Raw genomic sequence first — 12,459 nt, forward strand, 5'->3', positions numbered from 1 at the left:
CTGGTCCCTCAGACTCCAACCCATCCCCATGTTACTGCCAGAGACAGCCTCAAAGAAAACTCATCCAACAGGGCCACTGCCCCTCTTCCCAAGTTCTGGAGGTGCCCCGTTTCCCACAGGATAAAGCACAGGCTCCTTCACACAACCCACAAAAACTTTTTAGCCCCCCAGGCCAAAGCTGACTCTCCAACCTCAAGTCCCCACCCTACGCCTCCCTCTGCCCCACCACTCAGTGCTGCCCAAACCATGACTCTGCACCTGTGTACAGATTGTCCCCTCTGCCTGCACTGTCCTGCCCCCTTTCTTTGCTTCCATTCTCTGAAATGTGGCTCAAATGTTTCCTCCTTTGTAGTGTGTTCCCAGCAGGCAAGGACAGAGCGGGTGGAAGCAGCTGATGATCTCAGCTCTGGGTTTCTGTTTCTATTCCTGCAAGGAATTGTCTGCCTTTTCACTCCACTAGACCAAGAGTTTCTGGAGGATGAAAGATGTCACATTGCTCATCTTTGTCACTACACCCAGCACAAAGCCAGACACATAGTGGGGGCTCAGTAAAGTCTGTGAAATGACTGAGTGAACAGGTGAGTGCAAGTGGACTGAAATGTCACGTGGCCTGGCTCCCATCTGAACTTGGAATTCAAAGCAGCATTTTCTTCTCCCCTTGAACATTATATTCTCATGCAGTTGTATCTAAAGCATCACTTATTGGGAGATGCCCTTTCTTAGAAGGGTACCAGGGCTCTCGTAGCGGTTGAGGACTGGCGGGGAGAACTTGTCCCTGAGTGTGTGGCCACCTGGGAGCTCCATGCCATCGTTTCCATCTTCTAAGCCCAGCGTGGTGTCGCTCATGCTATCTCCTGTGCTGCTGTAGAACAGCAGTGAAGTGCATGGTGGTTTTGCACAATGTGACACACAGTTGGTCTCAACCGCAGCCAGTGAATTTCGCTCCTCGCTGTCATGAGACAACTGTTGTCAAGAAGTCTGATCCTTAAATCTTGTTTCAGAAGCGGACATTGCACGAAGCGATGGGGAACAACTACAACTTATATTCCTTTTCCAAGTGATAGTAAAAGTCCATCCTATCTTCAGATCCAAGTCTCTGGTCCGTTCTGAGAAATGAAGGGTCTGTCATTAAATCACAAGGAATATAAGTTATGTCGCTATCTTCATCCCTAGGAAGAAGAATGATAAATCTGCCAGCATTACCTTCAGGAATCAGGTCACCTTGGCCAACACAGCCAATGACCTCCACTCAGCATGCACCCTGCAGGCAGCTTTCCACCTGAATACCCCAATCCAGTGCACACCAAACTCCAGTTCAGCTCGTAAGTTGTACTTGCGTGTTTTCAGCCATGAGACTTTGCAGCAACAGGAGGCTGCTTTCTAGGGTTGCACCCACACCCACAAAAAGCTTTCCAGGTGTCCCAAGGGAAGGGGCGAGGCTTCTTTCACTGCATCCGGAGTCCCTGCTGGACATCAGCCTCGGTCTGGTTGTTGTGCATCCACTCCACAAAGATGTCCTGTGTGCCTCCTGTGATCAGGCCCTGGCATGGCAGGAAGGACATGCACTGAATATCTGGTGTGTCCCTCGGGACTCACAAAGCAGTGACGGGGTAGTAGGTACACACACAAATGCAATCGAGGGAAGCCTAGGGCACTGAAGGAGGCGCCCTAGGTGCCCAGCCAGGCTGTGAGCACCACCGAAGACTTCCTGGAAGAGGTGATGACTGACCTGTGTCTTTAAAAATGAGGAGGCCTTATACTCATTAGGATGGCTACTATCAAAAGAAAGAAAGGAAGGAAGGAGGGGAGGGAGAGAGGAAGAGAGGAAGGGAGAAAAAGAAAGAAAATACGTATTGTTGAGGAGGTGAAGAAATTGGAACCCTTATGCACTATTGACAGAAATGTAAAATTTCTATCAATAAAAATTCTGCTGTAGAAAACAGTACGGCAATTCCTCAAAAAGTTAAAAATAGAAATACCCTATGATCTAGCAATTCAACACTGAACATATACCCAAAATAAGTGAAAGCAGGGTCTCAAAGAGATACTTGCACACCTACTTTCACAGCAGCATTATTCACAATAGCTAAAACAACTCAAGTGTCCATTGACGGATTAATGAATGGATAAACAAAATGGTGTCTATCCATGCAATGAATATGACTTAGCCTTAAAAAGGAAGGAAATTCTGACATATGCTACAACATGAATGACTCTTAAGAACATTATGCTAAGTGCAGTAAGCCGCTCACAACAGAATACTGTATGATCTCACTTACATGAGTTATGTAGAGCAGTCAAATTCACAGAGACAGAAAGTAGAATGGTGGTTTCCAGGGACTGAGGGGAGGGAGGAATGGGGAGTTATTGTTTCATGGGTACAAAGTTGCAGTTTGGGCTAATAAAAAAGTTCTGGAAACGGATGGTGGTGATGGTTGCACAACACTGAAAATGTACCTAATGCCCTAAAAATGGTTAACGTGGTAAATCTTATGTTATGTATTTTACCAATACGCATGCAATGTATATTTAAACAAATAAAGAAAGAAGAGGAGTTTCCAGGGAAGAGCATTTCAGGAAGAAACCCCCGTGATAAGCCTCTCTCTCACTGCTTCGATGAGCCCCAGACATGGGAGGGCAGAGACACCTACCTTTGGAGTGAGCAGGAAAAACCCCTCCAGGAATAGCTGGAGAGGCAGCCTGGAACCTTGGGTCCTCGGCTTGTTTCCCTGGGCTTTCGGGGCTCAGCCAGTGTCTGCCTGCCCACAGGGGCTCTGCCCTGCCACTGCCATTCCGTGGACCTCCAGTGCCAGCCTCAGAAGGACGGCGCAGGCACCCAAGGGCAAGAAGTTAGGGTGGAACTGGCAGATGCAGGCAAGTGTGAGAAAATGTGGAAAACAGGCATGAAAGCAGGAAAGGTCGAGAGAGCACAGCTGGTTGGGCCGGCTGAGACATGTGTACTCTCCCAATTGTACTCTCCAAGAGTCCTGGTGCTCCAGGGACCTGGGTGGGGAAGATGAATACCCTCAAAGGTAACCTCCTGCCTGACCCCTAGGAACAAAGTAAATAAAGTTGAGTCTTCTCACAGAATGAAATGGACAGTCACAGGGAACATCTCCTTTATTTCCTGGTCACCAGGAAGGCAGGTGGCAGCTCAGAGCTGTCACCTCCATCCAATGGTCTCCATATCCCTGGGGATCCCAGGGGTCTTCAGGACTTGCAGGCAGGGGACATCAGTCCGAAGGTCCCTGCTGATCCCACAGCCCGTGGCATCAAACCAGGAACAGGCTGGGGAATTAGGAAGAGTTCTGATACTCACCGAGCCCCAAGAGCAGAACCCAGGCTCTCCCACTGCCATCGGGACCCATGGCCTGGGCATTGCCCAGCATCCCGAGCTTGCTTCAGCCCATTCTTTTCTCAGGTCTCCACACCCCAGCCCAGCTGGGCCTTTCTGTTCCTCAAGCTCACCAAACTCTTTGGAGCCTCTAGTCCTTTGCACTCACTGTCCCTTCCCATCAGAGTGCTGTTCCCCATGTCCCCAGGGCTGACCTATGCTCTTCCTTCAGGCTTCAGCTCAAATCACCACCCCCAAGAAGCCCTCCCTGACCACCTAGCTATTCTCCATCACATCCCTTGGCTCCTTCCTGCCACAGAACTCACCACCCTCCACAATTGTCTGCTCCACTTATACCATCTCTGTTTATTCATTTACTGTCTCTCCTCCTTCTACTTTGTGGTTCCATGAGGGCTGGGGTCTGCTCTTGTCTGTTATTTTTGGCCTGGCACCCAGATTTGGCACTAGACACTTAGGAGTCAAAAATATTTGTAGAATGGATGAACAGATGAATATGATCTGCCAAACACTTCCGCACCCATTGTTTTATTGGATCTATCAGGAGATTGCTTTTAAATAGGAACGACTGTTCCCACCCTACAGATGAGGAAAGCGAGCCCAGGGAGACTGAGTGCCACCATCACACAGATAGTCAGCGACAGGGCTGGGACTCAAAGCCACACCTGTCTGAGGGTTCTGCAGAACCCACAGGGGGTTATAAGCAAATGAAACAATTGAGTGTGCCTGTGTGCGCAAGTGTGTGTGTGTGCAAGCATGTGTGTGCATGTATATGTGCAGGAGTGTGCACAAGTGTCCATGTGTGTGCATGGGCATGTGCAGGTGTGTACTTGTGTGCAAGTGTCTGTGTGTGTGCATATGTGCACAGATATATGTGTGTGGACAGTGTGTGTTGGTGTTTGTGTGAGTGTGTGTCAGTGCCCCCAGGCTCCTGAACATGACTTCACTTTGAAAGTCCAGGAGCTCATGGAACAGAAGGAGCTCATCTTTTTCACAGCTGTATGCCCAGGACATTCCACAGGGCCTGCAGTTGAGCATCAGTAAAAGTTGGCTGAACTAATTGCAAACTCAAGAGCTGTACATACATGCACTGTCGTTGTTTTAAGTTCCTTTGCTTTCTTGCCTGTGTATGTCAAAGGAATGAACACACCTGAGTCTCTAGAGACAAAATTACCAATAGTTTAGGGTTAAAAAATGAATGTATTTACATGGAAGGCATGGGGCATGGAACCAATACAAGCTTCTGATTCCTTTGTAATGGCTATACACACTTATACACACTTCCCATCTGGGTCTTCTCCATCCTGCCTCTATGCTCACCTCTATATTAGAAGATGGATGGATGTGTGTGTGTCTGTGTGTCTGTCGGGGGAGCTCTTGTGTCTGAGCATCTATGTGTCTGTGTGTAATATGTTAGTATGCCAGTATATGGCATGAATGTACATGTGGGTTTGAGTGTGTTTGTGTGTGTGTGTGTGTGTGTGTGTGTTGTGAGTGTCTGCATAATGGAGTCTGTGTGTGTGTGTCCGGGGTGTCTGTGTATGTGTGTGTACAGACCTGTTGTGATAGGTTGTTCCTGAGACTGTTTATACCTGTGTCTCTACAAGAAGATCCAAGTGTGTGTGTGTGTCTGTGTGTGTGTGTGTGTGTGTGTGTGTTTTCTGCCTCCCCTCCAGAGTGAAAACTGACAAGACAGAGACCAGGCCAGCTCTTTCTGTTTTCCTTCACTGGCCACTCCTATGTGTCCAATAATCACAACCAACTAATTTGTTCATTAACAGAAGGAAAGCTCAGAACACCCTTGGGTCCCTGTCCACACAATCTCCCAGTATCACAGAGATGTGCAGCCCAGCACAGATAGCACAAGGGAGAAGCTCCCATTCTCTACCACATGGCTGCTGGCCCACCTCCCTCCCAGCCCGCAACCACTGAGACCCCACCGTGCAAAGGCAGCCTAAGTTTTCATGGCTCTGCTCAGGATGGTGGTGCAGCCACCAGCTCTGGGTCAGGCCCCTATAGTGCTAGTTCCTCCCCACCCCCTCTGTCCTCTATCTGCTTATGCAGAGCACGTCCTACAGTCAGTGCAGAAGCAGGAACTGTCTGCAGAGCTCCCAACACTGGCCGCCTCTGTCCTCGCCAACAACCGCGGACTGTTCCAGCCCCACAAACGCTTCCGTGGCTTTGTATCCATTAAAGGCACAATCTTGCTCAACCAATTAATGAAGCACCTTCTCTCACCCAATTCTCAAGTTTCCCCAGAGCCAAATGTAAAGTCTATACAATAATTAACACAGCCCGCTGTTTGATAAAGGAAGGCTTACATCTTTAATAATTCTCAATGAAGGAACATCCTGTGAAGGAATTGTTTAATTAAAAGACAACAATGGGATAAAAGGTAAATAAGAAGGAAAAGAGAGAGAGGGAGAGGGATAGAGAGAGAGAGAGAGATCACATCTGTTAATTCAGAACTAAATAAATATCCCCCACTTGAGATTCCTTACTTTCTTAGAATCCAGATATACTTGTTTAGCATGCAAATGTATTCTGTCATTAAACATGTTTGAAAAATGAGCAACTGTACTTTGACTAATTTTGTATCTCTCTGCTTAAAGAACAGCTGTCACGTCCCAGAGAGCATGGGGATCCCAGCTCTGAAACAGTGACTCCACTTCTCCAGGGCAAATTAGAGATTGCTGGGAGGAACTTCAGATGAAAACTTTGGGGGTTCATGGTTGAGGGCAGGCCAGAGTGGGGACTTCTGCTCCCAGGGAAATGGAGTAGACATACTTTTTCCTTATTCTCCCCACTAAGTACAACTAAAAAGCCCAAACATTGTACAGAAAACAAACATAAGAAGAGTCTGGGGATTATTCAATGAAGAGAAGAAGGCAGACCAGCTCAGGACCTCAGGACCTGAGGAATGACATGATGTTGAGGTCTGGAGTTTTCTTTTTGCCTCATATTTTGCAGACTTGCAGCAGAAAACTCAGCAACCCAGAAAGATCAATAGATGCAGGCAAAAAAAAAAATGCTATCAACAGAAGTCCTGCTCTATCTAGCCAAAGGTCCAGGAAAGGGGTAGGCTACCAAGACAGAAAACTTTCAGATAATTGCCACCACACTCCAGCCAAACACTCCAGAAAGGAAGTGCGGTTTCACCTCCCCAACACCAGCAAAGCCCGAGTGCAGATCCCAGACTCCCCATCTTCACCAGGCTGAAATGAAGTCCCCATTTGCCCAGCTGGGTCATATCCAAAAGGGTTTAGTATAGAGTCAGAATTTATACCACTGCCATAAAGAGTTCACAAACACACCGCCCCCCTACATGGTGTCAGTGAAGGCCATCTGGGGAGCAGTAACGATGCATCCCTACTTCTCCCAGCCAGGGAAGGGTCAGTGGTGGCTTCAGTAGGGAGCCAGAACTTCCACATCTTCCCAGCAGCAACACAGAACCTCCACCTCAGGTTTCAAAGGAAACCAAGAGGAGAACCTGGACTTCATTTGGAACCTGGAACCCTCATTTGACAATAATGAGACAGCAACCCCCTCACCAGAGTAGTATCAGAAGAAACCAGCTAAAACAGAAGGCGTAAGGAAGACCCATGAGCCTCATAACGTAATTCCCCAGAATTTCCAGGTTTCAAATGAAGATCACTATTCACACAAAGATCCAGGAAGAACTCAAACTGAATCAATCAATAGATTCCAGCGCTGAGATGATGAAATCATAAAGAACAATCTGACAAAAATTTTTAAACAGCTAGCATAAAAATGCTTCCATGGGCAATTGCAAATGTATTTGAACCAAATGAAAAAAGAAAATCTCAGCAAGGAAATACAATATATAAAGAAGGACCAAACAAAAAAAAATTTTTTTTTTTTTTGAGACGGAGTCTCATTCTTGTCACCCAGGCTGGAGTGCAATGGCGTGATCTCGGCTCACTGCAACCTCCACCTCCCAGGTTCAAGTGATTCTCCTGCCTCAGCCTCCCAAGTAGCTGGGACTGCAGGCACACGCCACCACACCTGGCTAATTTTTGTATTTTTAGTAGAGATGGAGTTTCGCCATGTTGGCCAGGCTGCTCTTGAACTCCTGACCTCAGGTGATCCACCTGCCTTGGCCTCCCAAAGTGCTGGGATTACAGGTGTGAGCCACCGTGCCCAGCCTGGAAATTTTAAAACTAAAAAATACAATAACCAAAAATAAAGCTCAGTTGAAAGAGGAGACAGCAGAAAGAATCAGTGACTAAAAGATATGGCCGTGCCTGGTGGTGACGCCTATAAACCCAGCACTTTGGGAGGTCGAGGTGGGGGAATCACTTGAGGCCAAGAGATCAAGACCAGCCTGGGCAACATGGAGAAATCCCATCTCTACTAAAAATGCCAAAAAAAAAAAAAATAGTGGGCATGGTGGTGCACACCTGTAGTCCCAGCTACTTGGGAGAACTTCTTGAACCTGGGAGGCAGAGGTTGCCGTGAGCTGAGATCACACCACTGCACTCCAACCTGGGCAACACAGTGAGACTGTGTCTTAAAAAATAAAAAATAAAAAGATATAATAATATACATTACCCAGTCTAAACAACAGAGACAGAATAGACTGAAATTTTAAAAAAATGAACATAGCCTCAGGAACCTGTGAGACTATGAAAAAAAAAAAAGATCTAACATTTGTGTCATTGGAGTCCTGGAAGGAAAGGAGAAAGAAGATGGGGCTGAAAAAGTACTTGAAGAAATAATGGCTACAGGGAAACATGACAGACAGGAGGCAGGTCAAGACTGCAGGTCTAGACAGAGCAATACAGAGGCTTGCATTGTGAATTTTAGCTCCAGATTGACTCCAAGAACAAACCAGCAATTCCGAGAGGACCCACAGACCCTCTGAAGGAAGCAAACTGCTTCTGCAGGACCCAAGAGACACCCCAAATACTGTGAATATCCCAACTCCAGAAGTGGGAAAGGGAGACCCTCCTCTCCTGAACACACCCCCACTGGAGAAGCTGAAGGTCTGTTTGTGGGAGAAGTTTCCGCCTTTACCTGGAGCTGAATCAAGTTAGAGGACCGAGTGAAATACAGGGGTATAGGAAGCAGCAGAAGGCCCTGGGAGCTCACTGGGTCCCCTAGTAGCCCATTCCTTCCTGGAACCACAGGGATCCATCAGGATGGCAGACAGAGAAGCAGGGGGTAAAACTCCACAGGGAGAAGGAATTCTCTAGCTGAACTTTTTAACAATTTGAGCGGGGTGAGAAGACTCCTGGCCAGAACTTGGGGAAGGGCACAAATCTGGTGTTCAGACTTCACAGGCTGGGCAAGAACCAAGCCCTTTTCTCTCCCAGGTGGGAGGCAGATAGCCTTGGGCAAATTTTCAAGCCCATCTCGCACTCTGCCTGGAAACAGACTCAGGGCTATTGTGGCGGGCACCGTGAGAGTGAGACCAGCCCTTCAGTTTGCGTGGGAGTTGGGTGAGGCCTGTGACTGCCAGCTTTCTCCCGCTTCCCTGACAACCTGCATAACTCATCAGAGGCAGCCATAATCCTCCTAGGTACACAACTGCAGTGACCTGAGAATCTCACCCCCATCCCCCACAGCAGCCACAGCAAGACTGGCCCAAGGAGAGTCTGAGCTCAGACACGCCTAGCCCCGCCCCCACCTGATGGTCCTTCCCTACCTACCCTGGTAGCAGAAGACAAAAGACATATAACCTTGGGAGTTCTAGAGCCCCGCCTAGCACCGGTCCCTCTCCACAGTGCTACAGCTGATGCTTTCCAGAAAGCATCACCTCCTGGCAGGAGACCAACCAGCACAAAGATAGAGCATCAAACCACCAAAGCTAAGGAATCTCACAGAGTCCACTGCACCCTCTGCCACCTCCACCAGAACAGTTGCTGGTATCCATAGCTGAGAAACCCACAGACAGTTCACATCACAGGACTCTGTGCAGACAACCCCCAATACCAGCCCCGAGCCGGGTAGACTCGCTGGGTAGCTAGACCCAGAAGACAGACAGCAATCACTGTAGTTCGGCTCACAGGAAGCCACATCCACAGGAAAAGGGGGAGAGTACTACATCAAGGGAACACCCCATGGGACAAAAGAATCTGAACAACAGCCTTAAGTCCTAGACCTTCCCTCTGACAGACTACCCAAATGAGAAGGAACCAGAAGACCAACCCTGGTAAATGACAAAACAAGGCTCTTCAACACCCCCAAAAAAATCACACTAGTTCACCAGCAATGGATCCAAACCAAGAAGAAATCCCAGATTTACCTGAAAAAGAATTCAGGAGCTTAGTTATTAAGCTAATCAGGGAAGGACCAGAGAAAGGTGAAGCCCAATGCAAGGAAATACAAAAGAATGATACAAGAAATGAAGGGAGAAGTATTCATGGAAATAGTTAGCTTAAAGAAAAAAAATTCAGGAAACTTTGGACACACTTCTAGAAATGCAAAATGCTCTGGGAAGTCTCAGCAATAGAACTGAAAAAGTAGAAGAAACAAATTCAGAGCTTGAAGACAAGGTCTTTGAATTAACCCAATCCAACAAAGACAAAGATAGAAGACTAAGAAAATATGAACAAAGCTGCCAAGAAGTCTGGGATTATGTTAAATGACCAAACCTTTATGTGCATAAAGACTCACATAAACTTAAAGGGTGGAAAAAGGCATTTCATGCAAATGGACACCAAAAGCGAGCAGGAGTAGCTATTCTTATATCAGACAAAACAAGCTTTAAAGCAACAGCAACTAAAAGAGACAAGGAGGGACAGTGTATAATGGCAAAAGGCCTTGTCCAATGGGAAAATATCACAATCCTAAACATACATGCAGCTAACACTGGAGCTCCCAAATTTATAAAACAATTACTAATAGACCTAAGAAATGAGATAGACAGCAACACAATAATAGTGGTGGACTTCAATACTCCACTGACAGCACTAGACAGGTCATCAAGACCGAAAGTCAACAAAGAAACAATGGATTTAAACTATACCTTGGAACAAATGGACTTAGCAGATATATACAGAACATTCAATCCAGCAACCGCAGAATACACATTCAACAGCGCATGGAACTTTTTCCAAGATAGACAATATGATAGGCCATAAAATGAGTCTCAATAAATTTAAGAAAATTCAAATTATATCAAGCACTCTCCCAGTCTACAGTGGAATAAAACTGGAAATAAACTCCAAAAGGAACCTTCAAAACCATGCAAATCCATAGAAATTCAATAGCCTGCTCATGAATGAGCATTGGTTTGAAAACAAAATCAACATGGAAATTAAAAAATTCTTCAAACTGAATGACAATAATGACACAACCTATCAAAACCTCTGGGATACAGCAAAGGCGGTGCTAAGAGGAAAGTTCATAGCCCTTAATGCCTACATCAAAAAGTCTGACAGAGCACAGACAATCTAAGGTCACACCTCAAGGAACTAGAGAAACAAGAACAAACCAAACCCAGAAAGAAAATAACCAAGATCAGAGCAGAACTAAATGAAACTGAAAAAAAAAAAAGACAAATGAAACAAAAAGCTGGTTCTTTGAAAAGATAAATAAAATTAATAGACCATTAGCAAGATTAACCAAGAAGAGAGAAAATCTAAATAACCTCACTAAGAAACAAAACAGTAGATATTACAACTGATACCACTGAAATACAAAAGATCATTCAAGGCTACTATGAACACCTTTATGCACATAAACTAGAAAACCTAAAAGAGATGGATAAATTCCTGGAAAAATACAACCATCTTAGCTTAAACCAGGAAGAATTAGATACCCTGAACAGATCAACAACAAGCAGTGGGATTGAAATGGTAAAAATTACCAACAAAAAAAAGTCCAGGACCAGACGGATTCACAGCAGAATTCTACCAGAAATCAAAGAATTATTGGCATCAATCCTTCTGACACTATTCCACAAGAAAGACAAAGAAGGAACCCTCCCTAATTCATTCTTTGAAGCCAGCATCACTCTAATACCAAAACCAGGAAAGGACGTAACCAAAAAAGAAAACTACAGACCGATATCCTTGATGAACATAGATGCTAAAATCTTAACAAAATACTAGCTAACCAAATCCTACAACATATCAAAAAGATAATCCACCATGATCAAGTGGGTTTCATAAATGGGATGCAGGGATGGTTTAACATATGCAAGTCAATAAATGTGATGGACAACATAAACAGAATTAAATATAAAAATCACACAATCATCTCAATAGGTGCAGAAAAAGCATTTAACAAAAATCCAGCATCGCTTTATGATTGAAACTCTCAGCAAAATCAGCATACAAGGGACATACCTTAATGTAATAAAAGCCATCTATGACAAACCCACAGCCAACATAATACTGAATGGGGAAAAGTTGAAAGCATTCCCTCTGAGAACTGGAACAAGACAAGGATGTCCACTCTCACCACTCCTTTTCAACGTAGTACTGGAAGTCCTAGCCAGAGCAATCAGACAAGAGAAAGAAATAAAGGGCATCCAAATCGGTCAAGAGGAAGTCAAACTGTCACTGTTTGCTGACAATATGATCATTTACCTTGAAAACCCTAAGGACTCCTCCAGAAAGCTCCTAGAACTGATAAAAGAATTGAGCAAAGTTTCCAGATACAAGACTAATGTGCACAAATCAATAGCTCTTCTATACACCAACAGCAACCAATCAGTGAATCAAATCAAGAACTCAACCCCTTTTCCAATAGCTGCAAAAAATAAATAAAATACTGAGGAATATACCTAACAAAGGAGTCAAAGACCTCTACAAGGAAAACACTGCCGAAAGAAATCACAGACGACACAAACAAATGGAAAAACATCCCATGCTCATGGATGGGTAGAATCAATATTGTGAAAATGACCATACTGCCAAAAGCTATCTACAAATTCAACGCAATCCCCATCAGAATACCGCCATCGTTCTTCACAGAATTAGAAAAAAAAAAAAAATTCTAAAATTCATGTGGAACCAAAAAAGAGTCCACATAGCCAAAGCAAGACTAAGCAAAAGGAACAAATCTGGAGGCATCACATTACCTGATTTCAAACTATACTGTAAGGCCATAGCCACCAAAACAGAATGGTACTGATA

General features: G+C 45.3%; 1 protein-coding gene across 1 annotated transcript in view, besides 1 other annotated feature; it reads right to left on the bottom strand.

Annotated features, from left to right (window-relative positions):
• The window catches only part of GRID1 (glutamate ionotropic receptor delta type subunit 1), a 767,244-nt gene that overhangs the window by 482,976 nt on the left and 271,809 nt on the right, over positions 1-12,459 (bottom strand). The gene's annotated exons all lie outside the window — the stretch shown is intronic.
• Positions 8,805-9,329: an enhancer, noted in NCBI's record as "H3K4me1 hESC enhancer chr10:87851089-87851613 (GRCh37/hg19 assembly coordinates)". NCBI's record gives its function as "activates a minimal SCP1, AML or CMV promoter by ChIP-STARR-seq in naive H9 embryonic stem cells {active_cell/tissue: H9 hESC(naive)}" and the evidence as "EXISTENCE:reporter gene assay evidence [ECO:0000049][PMID:30033119]".

The sequence above is a fragment of the Homo sapiens genome, chromosome 10, assembly GCF_000001405.40.
Source record: "Homo sapiens chromosome 10, GRCh38.p14 Primary Assembly".
NCBI lineage: Eukaryota > Metazoa > Chordata > Mammalia > Primates > Hominidae > Homo > Homo sapiens.